Source organism: Homo sapiens (assembly GCF_000001405.40).
Source record: "Homo sapiens chromosome 14 unlocalized genomic scaffold, GRCh38.p14 Primary Assembly HSCHR14_CTG1_UNLOCALIZED".
Classification (NCBI taxonomy): domain Eukaryota; kingdom Metazoa; phylum Chordata; class Mammalia; order Primates; family Hominidae; genus Homo; species Homo sapiens.
This window is the reverse complement of record NT_113796.3, coordinates 81,917-96,556: the sequence shown is the minus strand read 5'-3', so window position 1 is coordinate 96,556 and position 14,640 is coordinate 81,917. Positions and strand designations below refer to the sequence as shown.

Here is a 14,640-nt window from a genome sequence, read left to right as displayed (position 1 = left end):
TACATTATGTTGAAGGTTCTTACGATGTCTGTCTTTCTGATTACATTACCCATCTACACTTGAATGCTGTCTACTTCATTCATTAGACCCTTAGCATATTCTCCAGAGGTTTAAAAAAAATTCCAAAATCATATCTTTGTCTGCTTCTGAAGCTTGCTCTGTTGACACAAATTGTATTTTTTTCTTTTTTTGTATTTTAGTATGCCTTGCAATTTTTTCCCTTTATTCTCATGCATGAAGCACTCACTAAAGGTGACTGCTGTTAGTATAGCTTTAGTAATGCGGTGATGAGGTGACAGGGCAGGTGATGCTCTCTTAATCTCTTTAGGCTACTATAACAAAATACTTTAGACTGAGTAATTCATAAACAACAGAGATTATTGCTCACAGATCTGGAGGCTGGAAAGTCCAAGACTAAAGGGGCAGAATATTTAGTGTTTGGTGAAGGTCAAACATTCAGACACTCGCAACGACTATAGTGACAGCAGCAGTCTTCAGGAATCCTATGTGAGGGAAAAACATTCAGACCACAACAGGAGTGCTCGGGAATCCTATGTGAGGGACAAACATTCAGACCCCAGCAGTAGTGTTGTGGAATCCTATGTGAGGGGAAAACTTTCAAACCCTTGTAGCAGTGTTCTGCAATCTTATGTGAGGGGCAAAAATTCAGAACCTTGTAGCAGTGTTCTGGAATCCTATATGAGGAACAATCAGACCACAGCAGGAATGTTCTGGAATCCTATGTGAGGGGCAAACATTCAGACCACAGCAGGAGTGTTCTGGAATCCTATGTGAGGGAAAAACATTCAGACCACAGCAGGAGTGCTCTGTAATCCTATGTGAGGGACAAACATTTCAAAACCTTGTAGCAGTGTGCTGGGATGTTATGTCAGGGACAGACATTTAGACCCTCGCAGCAGTGTTCTAGAATCCCATCTGCGGGACAAACATTCAGACACTCGCAGCAGTGTTCTGGAATTCTATGTGAGGGACAGACATTCAAACCCCAACAGCAGTGTTCTAGAATCCTATGTGAGGGACAGACGTTCAGACCCCAGCAGCAGTGTTCTGGAATCCTATGTGAGGTACAAACATTCAGACACCAGCAGAAGTGTTCTGGAATCCTATGTGAGGGACAAACATTCAGACCCTCGTAGCACTGTTCAGGAATCCTATGTGAGGGACAAACATTCAGACCCTCCTAGCAGTGTTCTGGAATCTTATGTGAGGGACAAACATTCAAACCACAGCAGCAGTGTTCTGGAATCCTACGTGAAGGACAAACTTTCAGACCACAGCAGGAGAGTTCTGGAATCCTATGTGAGGGACAAACTTTCAGACCAAAGCAGGAGTGTTCTTAAATCCTATATGAAGGACAAACATTCAGACCCCAGGAACACTGTTCTGAAATCCTATAAGGGCAAACATTCAGACCCCAACATGAATGTTCTGGAATCCTATGTGAGGGACAAGCATTAAGACCATAGCAGGAGTATTCTGGAATCCTATGTGAGGGACAAACATTCAGACCCTTGTAGAAGTGTTCTGGAATCCTATGTGATTAAAAAAACATTGAGACCACAGCAGGAGTGCTCTGGAATCCTATGTGAGGGACAAACATTCAGACCCCAGAAGGAGTGTTCTGGAATCCTATGTAAAGGACAAACATTCAGACCCTCGTAGCAGTGTTCTGGAATCCTATGTGAGGGAAAAACATTCAGAACCTCGTAGCAGTGTTCTGGAATCGTATGTGAGGGACAAACATTCAGACCCTCCCAGCAGTCTTCTGGAATTCTATGTGAGGGACAGACATTCAAACCCCAGCAGCAGGGTTCTGGAATCCGATGTGAGGGACAGACATTCAGACCCCAGCAGCAGTCTTCTGGAATCCTATGTGAGGGACAAACTTTCAAACACTCATAGCAGTGTTCTGGAATCCTATGTGAGGTACAAACATTCAGACCCTCATAGCAGTGTTCTGGAATCCTATGTGAGGTACAAACATTCAGACCCTCATAGCAGTTTTCTGGAATACTATGTGAGGGACAACCATTCAGACCATGGCAGTTCTGAAATGCTATGTGAAGGACAAACATTCACACCCTCGTAGCAGTGTTCTGGAATCCTATGTGAAGGACAGACATTTAGACCCTCGAAGCAGTGTTCTGCAGTCTTAAGTGAGGAACAAAAATTCAGACCCTCGTAACAGTGTTCTGGAATCCTTTTTTGAGGGACAGACATTGAGACCCCAGCAGCAGTGGTCTGGAATACCATGTGAGGGACAAACATTCACACCCCAGCAACACTGTTCTGTAATCGTATGTGAGGGACAAGCATTCAGACCCCAGCAGCAGTGTTCTGGAATCTTATGTGAGGGACAAACATTGAGACCCTCGTAGCAGTGTTCTGGAATCCTACGTGAGACACAAACATTCGTACCACAGCAGAAGTGTTCCGGAATCTTATGTGAGGGACAACCATTCAGATCACAGCAGGAGTGTTCTGGAATCCTTTGTGAGGGACAACCATTCAGACCACAGCAGGAGTGTTCTGGAATCCTATGTGAGGGACAAATATTCAGACCTCAGCAGGAGGGTTCTGGAATCCTGTGTGAGGGACCAACATTCAGACCCTCGTAGCAGTGTTCTGGAATGCTATGTGAAAGACAACCATTCAGACTCTCATAGCAATGTTCTGGAATCCTATGTCAGGGACATTCAGACCCCAGCCGCAGTGTTCTGGAATCCTATGTGACAGACAAACATTCAGACCACAGCAGGATCGTTCTGGAATCCTATGTGACAGAAAAACGTTCAGACCATAGCAGTAGTGTTCTGCAATCCAATGTGAGGGACAAACATTCAGAGCCCAGCAGCAGTGTTCAGGAATCCTATGTGAGGGACCAACAATCAGACCCTCGTAGCAGAGTTCTGAAATCCTATGTGAGGGACAAACATTCAGAACCCAGCTGCAGTGTTCTGGAATCCTATGTGACAGAAAAACATTCCGACCACAGCAGCAGTGTTCTGGAATCCTATGTACGGTACAAACTTTCAGACCACAGCAGGAGAGTTCTGGAATCCTATGTGAGGGACAAACTTTCAGACCCCAGGAGCAGTGTTCTGAAATCCTATGTTAAGGGCAAGCATTTACATCCCAGTGTGAATGTTCTCGAATCCTAGGTAAGGGACAAACATTCAGACCACAGCAGGAGTGTTCTCGAATCCTATGTGAGGAACAAACATTCAGACCACAGAAGGAGTGTTCTGGAATACAATGTGAGGGACATTCAGACCCTCTTAGCAGTGTTCTGGAGTCCTATGTGGTGAGCAAACTTTCAGACCACAGCAGGAATGTTCTGGAATCCTATGTGAGGGTCAAACATTCCGACCACAGCAGGAGTGTTCTGGAATCCTATGTGAGGGCAAACATTCAGACCCACGTGGCAGTGTTCTGGAATCCTATGTGAGGGACAAATATTCAGACCACAGCAGGAGTGCTCTGGAATCCTATGTGAGGGACAAACATTCAGAACCTCGTAGCAGTGTCCTGAAATCTTATGTGAGGGAGAGACATTTAGACCCTCGCAGCAGTGTTCTGGTATCCCATGTGAGGGACAAACATTCAGACCCTCCCAGCCATATTCTGGAATTCTATGTGAGGGAAAGACGTTCAAACCCCAGCAGCAGTGTTCTGGAATCTGATTTGAGGGGCAGACATTCAGACCCCAGCAGCAGTGTTCTGGAATGCTATGTGAAGGACAAACATTCAGACCACGGGAGCAGTGTTCTAGAATCCTACGTGAAGGACAAACATTAAGACTCTCATAGCAGTGTCCTGGAATCATATGTGAGGAACAACCATTCAGACACCAGCAGAAGTGTTCTGGAATCCTAGGTGTGGGAAAAACATTCAGAACCTAGTAGCAGTGTTCTGGAATCCTATGTGAGGGACATACATTCAGACCACGGCAGCAGTGTTCTGGAATGGTATGTGAAGGACAAACATTCAGACCCTTGTAGCAGTGTTCCGGAATTCTATGTGAGGGACAAACATTCAGACTACAGCAGCAGTGTTCTGGAATCCTATATGACGGACCAACGTTCAGACACTTGCAACAGTGTTCTGGAATACTAGGTGAGGGAGAAATATTCACACCCTTGTAGCAGTGTTCTGGAATTCTATGTGACTGACAAACATTCAGACTCCAGCAGCAGTGTTCTGTAATCCTATGTGAGTGACAAACATTCAGACCCCAAGAGCAGTGTTCTGAAATCCTATGTTAAGGGAAACATTGAGACCCCAGCATGAATGTTCTGGAATCCTATGTGAGGGACAAACATTCAGACCACGGCAGGAGTATTCTGGAATCCTATGTGAGGGACAAACATTCAGACTACGGCAGGAGTATTCTGGAATCCTATGTGAGGGACAAACATTCAGACCACGGCAGGAGTATTCTGGAATCCTATGTGAGGAACAAACATTTAGACCACAGCAGGAGTGTTCTGGAATCCTATATGAGGGATAAGCATTCAGACCCTCGTAGCAGTGTTCTGGAATCCTATGTGAGGGAGAAGCATTCAGAGCACAGCAGGAGTGCTCTGAAATCCTATGTTAGGGACAAACATTCAGAACCTCGTAACATTGTTCGGGAAACCTATGTGAGGGACAGACATTTAGACCCTCGCAGCAGTGTTCTGGAATCCCATGTGAGGGTCAAACATTCAGATCCTCACAGCAGTGTTCTGGAATTCTATGTGAGTGACAAACTTCCAGACTCCAGCAGCAGTGTTCTGTATTCCTATGTGAAGGACAAACATTCAGAATCCAGGAGCAGTGTTTTGAAATCATATGTTAAGGGCAAACATACCCTAGCATCACTGTTCTAGAATCATATGTGAGGGACAGACATTCAGACCCTCACAGCAGTGTTCTGGAATCCTAGATGGGGGACAAACATTCAGACCCCAGCAGCAGGCTTCTGGAATCCTATGTGGGGGACAAACATTCAGACAATGGCAGCAGTGTTCTGGAATCCTACGTGAGGGACAAACACTCAGAGCCTTGTAGCAGTGTTCTGGAATCCTATGTGAGTGAGAGTGCCTGGAGCCTACCCAACCTGACGCCCCCAAAGCCCTCACAGGGTCTGACCTCCCAGCATGCACCTGCCTCTCCCTGAACCCCAACTGCCCACCCTGCCTGTTCCCTGGCCTCCTTCATCCTGTGCAGCCCATAGACTGTGACCATCTCTGCAGCCACTCTGGCTCTTCCTTTACCTTTGTCCTTTCAGAATCTCTGAGCAGGATCTCCCAGGTCCATCCAAACACGTGCTTTGTCCACTTTTGACTAGGCCCTTGGGCATCACTGGGCTATCCCAGCTGTCCACAGGGCCTTCAATAATGCACATTGCACCTGGCTTATCCAAGCAGTGCTCAGCAGCCCACATTGACCAGGTCCCTGCTGACCAGACCCCACACATCAGGTCCTCCCTGATGACACCCTCACTGATTAGACCCTCATGACCAGGCCCCACTAACAAGGCCCCCACTGCCGGGCACACAATGACAAGGACTCCACCGACCAGGACCTTACTGACAAGGCCTCACGGACCAAGTCCTTACTGACAAGTCCTCACTGAGTAGGTCATTATTGACAAGGCCTCACTGATCAGGTTCCACTGATCATGACCTCATTCCCTGGCCCCAAAGATGAGGCCCCACTGACCAGGCCTCCAGGGAACAGGTTGCCACTGATCAGGCCCCTAATAACCAGGCCTAAGGTCACCAGATGCCCCTGACTGGGACCCTAGTGAGTAGACCCCACTGAACTGGCACCAAATGCTGAGATCCCCGCTGACCAGGTCACCCTGTAGACCGGTGCTACAAAAGTCACCACTGACCAAGTCCTCTCTGACTAGGACACTACAGATTAGGTCCCACTGACAAGGCTGCCCTGACCAGGGCCCCACTGACAAGGGCCTCACTGATGAGGACACGCCCACCAGGGTCTGCTGACTAGGTTCCATGTGCCCAGTCCTCCACTGAATAGCACCCCTTGACCTGGTCACCAGTGCCCCAGCCCATGCTGACCAGGCCAGCACTAAGCCCCAGCTGACCAGGTCTCCACTGATCAAGCCCCACAGCCCAGGTTTGCACTGACCAGACACCAAACAACTGGCAGCCAATAGGTCCCCACTCACCAAAACCCCCACTACTAGACCCCACTAATGAGACCCTCTCTAAGCAGACCTCTGCTGACCATGATCCCACTAAATAGTCCTCACTGACCTAGGTCCACTGACCAGGCCCACACTGATCAGGCCCCTCCTAACCACGCCGGAAATCCAAGCGGCAATGACATGTTTCATATGGCAGAAGTTGGAACAAGACAGAGAGAGGAAAGAGGTTCCACAGCCTTTTAAACTACTAGATCTCATGAGAACTCACTCACTATCAGGAGGATGGCATTAAGGGCTTGGTGCTTTGCCATTTGTGAAGGATCCACTCCCACCCCTTTATGATTAAAACTTTTTCCACCTAGGCCCCGACTCTAACATTAGGGAGTGTACTTTCACATGAGTTTTGGAAGGGGCATAGAGAAAAACCGTATTATTCTGTCCCTGACCCCACAAATCTCATGTCCTTCTCACATTGCAAGATACAGTCATGCCTTGCCAGCAGTCTCCCAAAGTCTTAACTCATTTCAGCATTAACTCAAAGTTACAAAGTCCAAAGTCTCATCTGGGTCAAGGCTACATTCTCTTTTGCCTACGAGTCTCTGAAATAAAAAGCAAGTTCACTGCGTCTAAGGTACAATGATGGTACAGGCATTGTGTAAGCTTTCCATATCCAAAAGAGAGACATTTTCCAGAAAGCTTCTTATTTTTATCTGAGGCCCCCTCAGCCTGGCCTTCACTGTCCATGTTTTTGTCAGCATTCTTGTCACAGCCATTTAACCAGTCTCTAAGATGATCCAAAAATGTTCTCATCTGTCTGTCTTCTTTGGAGCCCTCCAAACTCTTCCAACCTCTACCCATTACCCAGTTCCGAAGTTGCTTCCACATTTTCAGGTATATTTATAGCAATGCTCCAGTCCTCATTTGCCATTTTTGGTAAGATTTATCTTGAAAAAGAGGTTTAATTGGCTCATGGTTCTGCAGAGTGGACAGGAAGCTTAGTGCTTCTTCTTCTGGGGGGCCTCAGAAATCTTTCAATCATTGTGCAAGGTAATGAAAGAGTGAATTGTCTCACATGGCAAGAGGAAATCACGGAGAGTAGGGAGTGATATAGAGTTTTCAGTGGCCAGATCTCACGAGAAGTCACTCATGATTGTGAGGACAGTACCAAGGGGATGGTGCTGAACCACTCATGAGAAATTTGCCTTCATGATTCAATCACCTTATACCAGGATCCACCTCCAACATTAGGAAGCATAATTCAACATGAGATTTGGTGGGGACACATATTCGAATTGCCTCATCAGTCTTTGAGTATAAAGACATCCATAGCAGGCTTTATCCAGCCAGCTTCTTTGGGATTCTTTATAAGGTTTCAGATCTATAGGATATCCACTAAAATATTCCTACTTCAAAAGGCAATAAAGTAAGTGGTATTATCATTCTTCAAAAAGTTATAATGGTAGTGTAGGCATTCATAGTATGATTTAGTTCATTTGCTACTGTTTCTATTCTATCACCATATTAACACTTCCCTACACAATTCTATATTCAGCTGGGTTTCAGTTGAGCACAAAGTCATCCTTGTACTACCACCGATAGCTGGCACCAGCTCTTTGATACTGTTATCATTCTGCTGTAGAAAGTACCCGTGAACTGGAAAAAGTCCACACTCGAATAGCTAGTCATTCAACACTATCAAATTTTAGGTGACTTTTTGAAAAAATAGTATCTCTTGTTGAAAGAAATGCTCCATCTGTGATTTCAAGTCTCTCACTTGAGTGAATTGGATGGAAGTGGTGAATTTCAGCCAAAGTGGCCAAAGAAATCCTGTTCCTGTGATAATGACGCCATCAGCCTCTGCACCTCTGTCTTCCCTTCTGCCACATGTTGTCTGTTCTCCGTGACTTTGGTAAGAGCTTCCTTGTGTATGTGGATGATGTCCAGGATGTTTGTCTTGTGTCCCTGAGACAGCACTAACAGGTCCATGGCTGGGTCCAGGTCCTTCCTGGACTGACCGGCAAGGAGCTTACTGATGTTCTTGAAGGCATCTCTGGTGAAGTGGATGGCCTAGTCAACTTCCAAGGCCTGGCTGAGGCTGAAGAAAAACTGGCCACCTTCTGATGCTCTTTCTAAAAGCCTGTCACTGTCATCTGCTTGCTTGTCAACTCATTGGCTGTGAGGTTGAGCTGAGTGGCCTGTGTCCATCTTCTTTGGGAAGCATTTGAAGCCATCAATCTTGCTCTCCCACCCCTAAAGGTTGATGGTCACCACCTGGGGATGTGCTGAGGGTCAGAAAGAAGCCAGCACTCACTATCTCATCCTTCTCAGCCTTCCTCTTGCACTCTCTCCAGGCTGTCTCTTCAGTGCTGGTGGGATATATCAGAAAGTGATGGAAGATGTGGCACTGTGCCCTCACCCAGAAGCTGGCCATGTGGTTGGCTCCTCCACCAGAATGGATGCTCTGGGTGCTCTTTGAGCCAGCTTGGCTTTGCCTAGCATGCACAGGCTCCGGGTACCGAAATGTTGCTCTGAGTGAGCTTGTCCTGCCTTGGGCCAAATTCTGTTAGGCCAGGGCCACAAAAGGCCGAGTCCCACGGGTGGTAATCCTGGCTGCTTTCTGCACTTCCACATAAAGACCTCCTGAAGATGGCCTGTGGTCTACCTCTTTGCAACCAAGAAGCCCGCAGTGCCATATGAATCCTCAGGCATGGACTGGAGCCCCCGAGGAAGCACACACCCTGCTCCTGAGCCTGCTGCTCATTTTCTCTGTGTGGCTCCATTTGTGTCACAGTTGTTGCACAGACTTGTGCATGCTGGGCAAGGCCAAGCTGGCTCAAAAAGCAACCAGCCACCTCTGCAAGGTTGTGCCAGGAGCCGGTGGACCGGCCACCAACCTCACTCACTGCTGGTCAGGTTACATCAGTTATTCTACCCTAGAGGTAGGGCCCCAGTGCCATATGCTTTTCCTCAGGCCTCTGCTCTATCAGTCATCAGGCGGCAACCACTCAGGCTGTGGGAACCTGGCCATCCCTCCTTCCTTGAGTAGCTGAGGTTGCTGGCTTGTCCGCCTACTACAGGCACAGCCTTGCAGATGTGGCTAGTTGCTCTGAGCCAGCTTGGCCTTTCCTGGCATGCCTAGGCCCCAGGTACTGACACTCTGCTCCGAGTCAGCTTGTCCTGCCTTGGGTCAAATTCTAAGTCTGGCCAGGGCCACAGAAGGCCCAGTCCCCTGGGTGCTAATCTTGGCTGCTTTCTGCACTTGAACATAAAGTCCTCCTCAAGAAAGCCTGTGGTCTGCCTGTTGGCGACCAAGAAACCTACAGTGCCATACGAGCCCTGAGGCATGGACTGGAGCCACAAAGGCAGTGCACGCCCCATTCCTGAGCCTGCTGATCATTTCCTCTATATGGCTCCATTTGTAGCACACTTGTTGCAGTGAGGCTTGTGCATGCCAGGCAAGGCCAAGCTGGCTCAAAGAGCAAGCAGCCACCTCTGCAAGGGTGTGCCAGGAGCAGATGGACCAGCTGCCAACCTCACTCACTGCCAGACGTGGTACATCAGTTCTTCTACCCTAAAGGTGGGGCCAAGAGGCAGACCACAGGCCATCTTGAGGAGGACTTTATGTTCAAGTGCAGAAAGCAGGCAGGATTACCACCCTGGGTACTCGCCCTTCTGTGGCCCGCAGTGCCATATGAGCCATGAGGCATGGACTAGTGCCATCTGCTTTATACAAAAAATAACTTAAGATTGATTAAAGAGTTAAATATGCCACCTGCTTTTCCTCAGGCCTCTGCTCCATCAGGCATCAGGTGGCAGCCACTCATGCTGTTGGAACCTCGCCATCCGTGCTTCCTTGAGCGGGTGAGGTTGCTGGCTTGTCCGCCTGCTACAGGCACAGCCTTGCAGAGGTGGCTGGTTGCTCTGAGCCAGCTTGGCCTTGCCTGGCATGCATAGGCCCCAGGTACTGACACTCTGCTCCGAGTCAGCTTGTCCTGCCTTGGGCCAAATTCTAAGTCTGGAGAGGACCACAGAAGGCAGAGTCCCCTGGATGGTAATCCTGACTACTTTCTGCACTTGAACATAAAGTCCTCCTCAAGACAGCCTGTGGTCTGCAGCTAGGCAACCAAGAAACCCGCAGTGCCATAGGAACCATGAGGCATTGACTGGAGCCCCAAAGGCAGGGCACACCCTGTTTCTGAGCCTGCTGCTCGTTTCGTCTATGTGGCTCCGTTTGTTGCACAGTTATTACACTGAGGCTTGTGCATGCTGGGCAAACTCCAAGCCACTTAGAATTTGGTCCAAGGCAGAACAAGTTCACTGGGAGCAGCGTGTCAGTACCTGGGGCCTGTGCATGCCAGGCAAGGCCAAGCTGCCTTAAAGAGCAAACAGCCTCCTCTGCAAGGGTGTGCCAGGAGCCGGTGGACCCACCACCAACCTCACTCACTACCAGTCAGAGTACATCAGTTCTTCTACCCTAGAGGTAGGGCCCAACTGCCATCTGCTTTTCCTCAGGCCTCTGCTTGATCAGCCATCAGGCGGTGGCCACTCATGCTGTGGGAACCTGGCCATCCCTGCTTCCTTGTGTAGCTGAGGTTGCTGGCTGCTCCACCTCCTCCAGAAGCACCCTTGCAGTGGTAGCTGGTTGCTCTTTGAGCCAGCTTAGCCTTGCCTAGCATGTACAGGCCCCAGCTACTGACACACTACTCCGAGTGAGCTGGTCCTGCTTTGAGCCAAATTCTAAGTCTGGCCGGGGCCACAGAAGGCCGAGTCCCCTGGGTGGTAAACCTGGCTGCTTTCTGCCCTTGAACATAAAGTCCTCCTCGGCTGGTCTATGGTCTACCTCTTGGCAACCAAGAATCCTGCAGTCCCATACAAGCCCTGAGGCATGGACTGGAGCCCCAAAGGCAGTGCACACCCTGCTTCTGAGCTTGCTGCTCATTTCCTCTGTGGGGCTCCATTTTTAGGAAAGTTGTTGCATTGAGGCTTGTGTATGCCGGGCAAGGCCAAGCTGGCTCAAAAAGCAACCAGCCGCGTTTGCAAGGGTGTGCCTGAAGTGGTTGGACTAGCCATCAACGTTGCCCACTAAAGGAAGCAGGGAATGCATGTTTGTACCATGCATTTCACTACAGGTCATTTCCCCTGAGGTTGGTGGCCTAGGTTTTCTTCTAGATTTTTTATGGTTTTAGGTCTTACTTCTAACTCTTTCATCCATCTTACTTAATTTTTGTTTAAGGTGTATGGGTGTGGCCCAGTTTCAGTTTTCTGCATTTGGCTAGCCAGTTTTCCCAACACCATTTATTAAATAGGGTATCCTTTCCCATTGCTTGTTTTTGTCAGGTTTGTCAAAGATCAGATGCTTTTAGATGTGTGGTGTCATTTCTGAGGGCTCTGTTCTGTTCCATTGGTCTATAGATCTGATTTGGTACCAGCCCCATGCTGTTTTGGTTACTGTAGCCTTGTAGAATAATTTGAAGTCAGGTACTGTGATGCCTCTAGCTTTGCTGTTTTTGCTTAGGATTGCCTTGGCTATGTGGGCTCTTTTTTGGTTCCATATGAAATTTAAAGTAGTTTTTCTAATTCTGTGAAGAAAGTAATGGTAGCTTGATGGGGACAGCAATGAGTCTATAAATTACTTTGGGTGGTATAGCAGTCAGGCACAGAAATGTCCTTGTGTTAGGCAATACCATTCAGGACATAGCCATGGGCAGAGTCTTCATCACTAGAACACCAAAAGCAATGGCTACAAAAACCAAAATTTACAAATGGGATCTAACTAAACTTAAGAGTATCTGCAGTGCAAAAGAAACTATTATCAGAGTGAACAGGCAACCCACAGAATGGGAGAACATTGTTGCAATCTATCCATCTGACAAAGGGCTAATATGCAGAATCTACAAAGAACAAATTTACAAGAAAAAAAAAACCATCAAAAAGTGAGCAAAGGGTATGAACAGACACTTACCAAAGAAGACATTTATACAGCCAACGAACATGTGAAGCAAAGCACATCATCACTGGTCATTAGAGAAATGGAAATCAAAACCACAATGAGATACAATCTCACACCACTTAGAATGGTCATCGTTAAAAAATCAGGAAAAAACAGATGCTAGAGAGGATGTGGAGAAATAGCAAAGCTTTTACACAGTTGGTGGGAATATAAATTACTTCAACCATTGTGGAAGACAGTGTGGCAATTCCTCAAGGATCTACAACTAGAAATATCATTTGACCCAGCAATCCCATTACTGGGTATATACCCCCAAAATTATAAATCATACTAATATAAAGACACATGAACCTGTCTGTTTATGGCGGCACTGTTCACAACAGCAAAGACTTGGAACCAACCCAAATGCCCACCAATGATAGACTGGATAAAGAAAATGTGGCATATATACACCACGAAATACTATGCAGCCATAAAAAGGGATGAATTCACGTCATTTGCTGGGACATGAATGAAGCTGGAAACCATCATTTTCAGCTAACTAACAGAAGAACAGAAAACCAAACACCACATGTTCTCACTCATAACTGGGAGTTGAACAATGGGAACACATGGACACAGGAAGGGGAACATCACACACCAGGGCCTGTCAGGGTGGGGGGCTAGGAGAGGGATGGCATTAGGAGAAATAACTAATGTAGATCATGGGTTGATGGATGCAGCAAGCCGCCATGGCATGTGTATACCTATGTAACCTGCATGTTCTGCACATGTACCCCAGAACTTAAAGTATAATTTAAAAAAAAAAAGAAATTTGCTTTTAATTAAGCTTTTAATCATAGAACTTGTGAAGAAAATCCTTTTGAATCTTTTATTACCACATCATAGCTGGGACAAACCGCTGACGCTTTAAAAGTAACATAAATATCAAACAGAAAGAACTAGACTTAGGAACCAAACTCAGGTTTCTGTAGTGAACAGGGCAGAATCTTCACACTGGGTCACCACCACTACTCCTTCAGTTTAGCCTTGGCTAGCAAAAGGGTGGCCTTGTTATGTAGATGAGACCACTTATGTAAAAAAAAAAAAGTTTTAAAAAATAATTTCTGCTAACTGGAATGTTTTTTGTTGTTGTTTATTTGTTTGTTTGTTTGTTTGCAGCCATAGGAGTTTTAGCCAATTCAGAGGCCTTGCTCCCCACAATTTGGAAAATTCCTTTGGATTTGACCAAGTCAGGAAGAGAAGGGAGAAAAGTGAAACAACAATAAAGCCCCAAGCATAAACAAACAAAAAGAGTTAAGCAAAACAACAAATGCACAATTCATATGATTACTGAGTGTTCTAATGGTAAGGAGAAACTAAAAGCAGAAATTAAAAGCAGCTGGTGAGTAATCTTAAATTTTAGTCATTAAGGACAAATTTTAAGACAAAACTCTAATTCAGCTACTCACCTGGAAACAAGGCTCAGGCTGGTGATCGTTCTCTGCCATCTTAGAAGCTGAAAACAACTTACACTCACCTTCCCTGTCAGAAGCAAGCTGAAACTCAGGAAAGGAGGTGCCTGCTCTCCATCACCACAGAAGCAGGAAAACTTGCCTTCCTTGTTGGAAATGAGTAAAACTTCAGAAAAGGAGTTGTACAGAAAAATCAAACTTAGATCTCAACCAGATTTTGGGAGACCAGGGACTCTTTGCAGGGGAGAAGCTCCACAACCTCAGCAAATTATCCTGTTGGTTTGGGCAATAAAGATAGCCCATGTTGGTATCAATCAATAACGAGATTTATCAAAGGTCAGGGCCACCTTTGTAATGACCTTCTCTGTCTTTTTTTATCTTTATTGGTATATACGTTTTGTCGAAACTGGGAGTGTAACACCTGATTTCTTCTGTTTTCCATTTGCTTGAAAGATTTTTCACCATTCCTTCATTTTGAGCCTATGTATGGCACTGCATGTGAGATGGGTTTCTTGGAGACAGCATACTCAAATGGGTCTTTGTTCTTTATCCAGCTTGCCCCCCTGTGTCTTTCAATCGGAGCATTTAGCCCATTTCCATTTAAGGTTAGTAATGGTATGTGTGGATTAGATCCTGTCGTCATGCTGTCAGCTAGTTATTTTGCAGACTTGTGTATGTGGTTGGTTTTTAGCATTACTGGTCTGTGTACTTCGGTGCATTTTTGTAGTGGCTGGTGATGGTCTTTTCTTTCCATATTTAGTGCTTCATTCAGGAGCTCTTGTAAGGTAGATCTGGTGATAATGAATTCTCTCAGCATTTGCTTGTCTGAAAAGGATCTTGTTTCTCCTTCACTTATGATGCTTAATTTTGCTGGACATGAAATTCTGGGTTGAAATTTCTTTTTCTTTTAACCATGTATAATAACACCATGTTATTATATGGTATATCTGTCTCTGCCATACTACGTGAAATTTCTTTTCTTTAAGAAGTTGAATATCTTTTCTGGCTTGTAGGGTTTCAGCTGAGAAGTCTGCTAAGTCTGATGGAATTCCCTT

The 14,640-nt window shown here is 46.4% G+C and overlaps 1 long non-coding RNA gene and 1 pseudogene across 7 annotated transcripts in view; one reads left to right on the top strand and one right to left on the bottom strand.

The window, feature by feature from the left end:
- LOC105379271 (uncharacterized) overlaps nucleotides 1–14,640 on the top strand; it is a 114,785-nt gene that overhangs the window by 28,291 nt on the left and 71,854 nt on the right. Inside the window, exon 3 of one of the 7 annotated variants that reach the window (XR_949081.4) lies at nucleotides 13,293–13,903. The exons of the other annotated variants lie outside the window; for them this stretch is intronic. This is a non-coding gene — a long non-coding RNA (uncharacterized LOC105379271). Of the gene's footprint in view, nucleotides 1–13,292; nucleotides 13,904–14,640 lie in introns of those variants that run through there. 7 annotated transcript variants of the gene reach the window in all.
- On the bottom strand, nucleotides 7,679–8,633 carry SNX18P22 (sorting nexin 18 pseudogene 22; annotated as a pseudogene).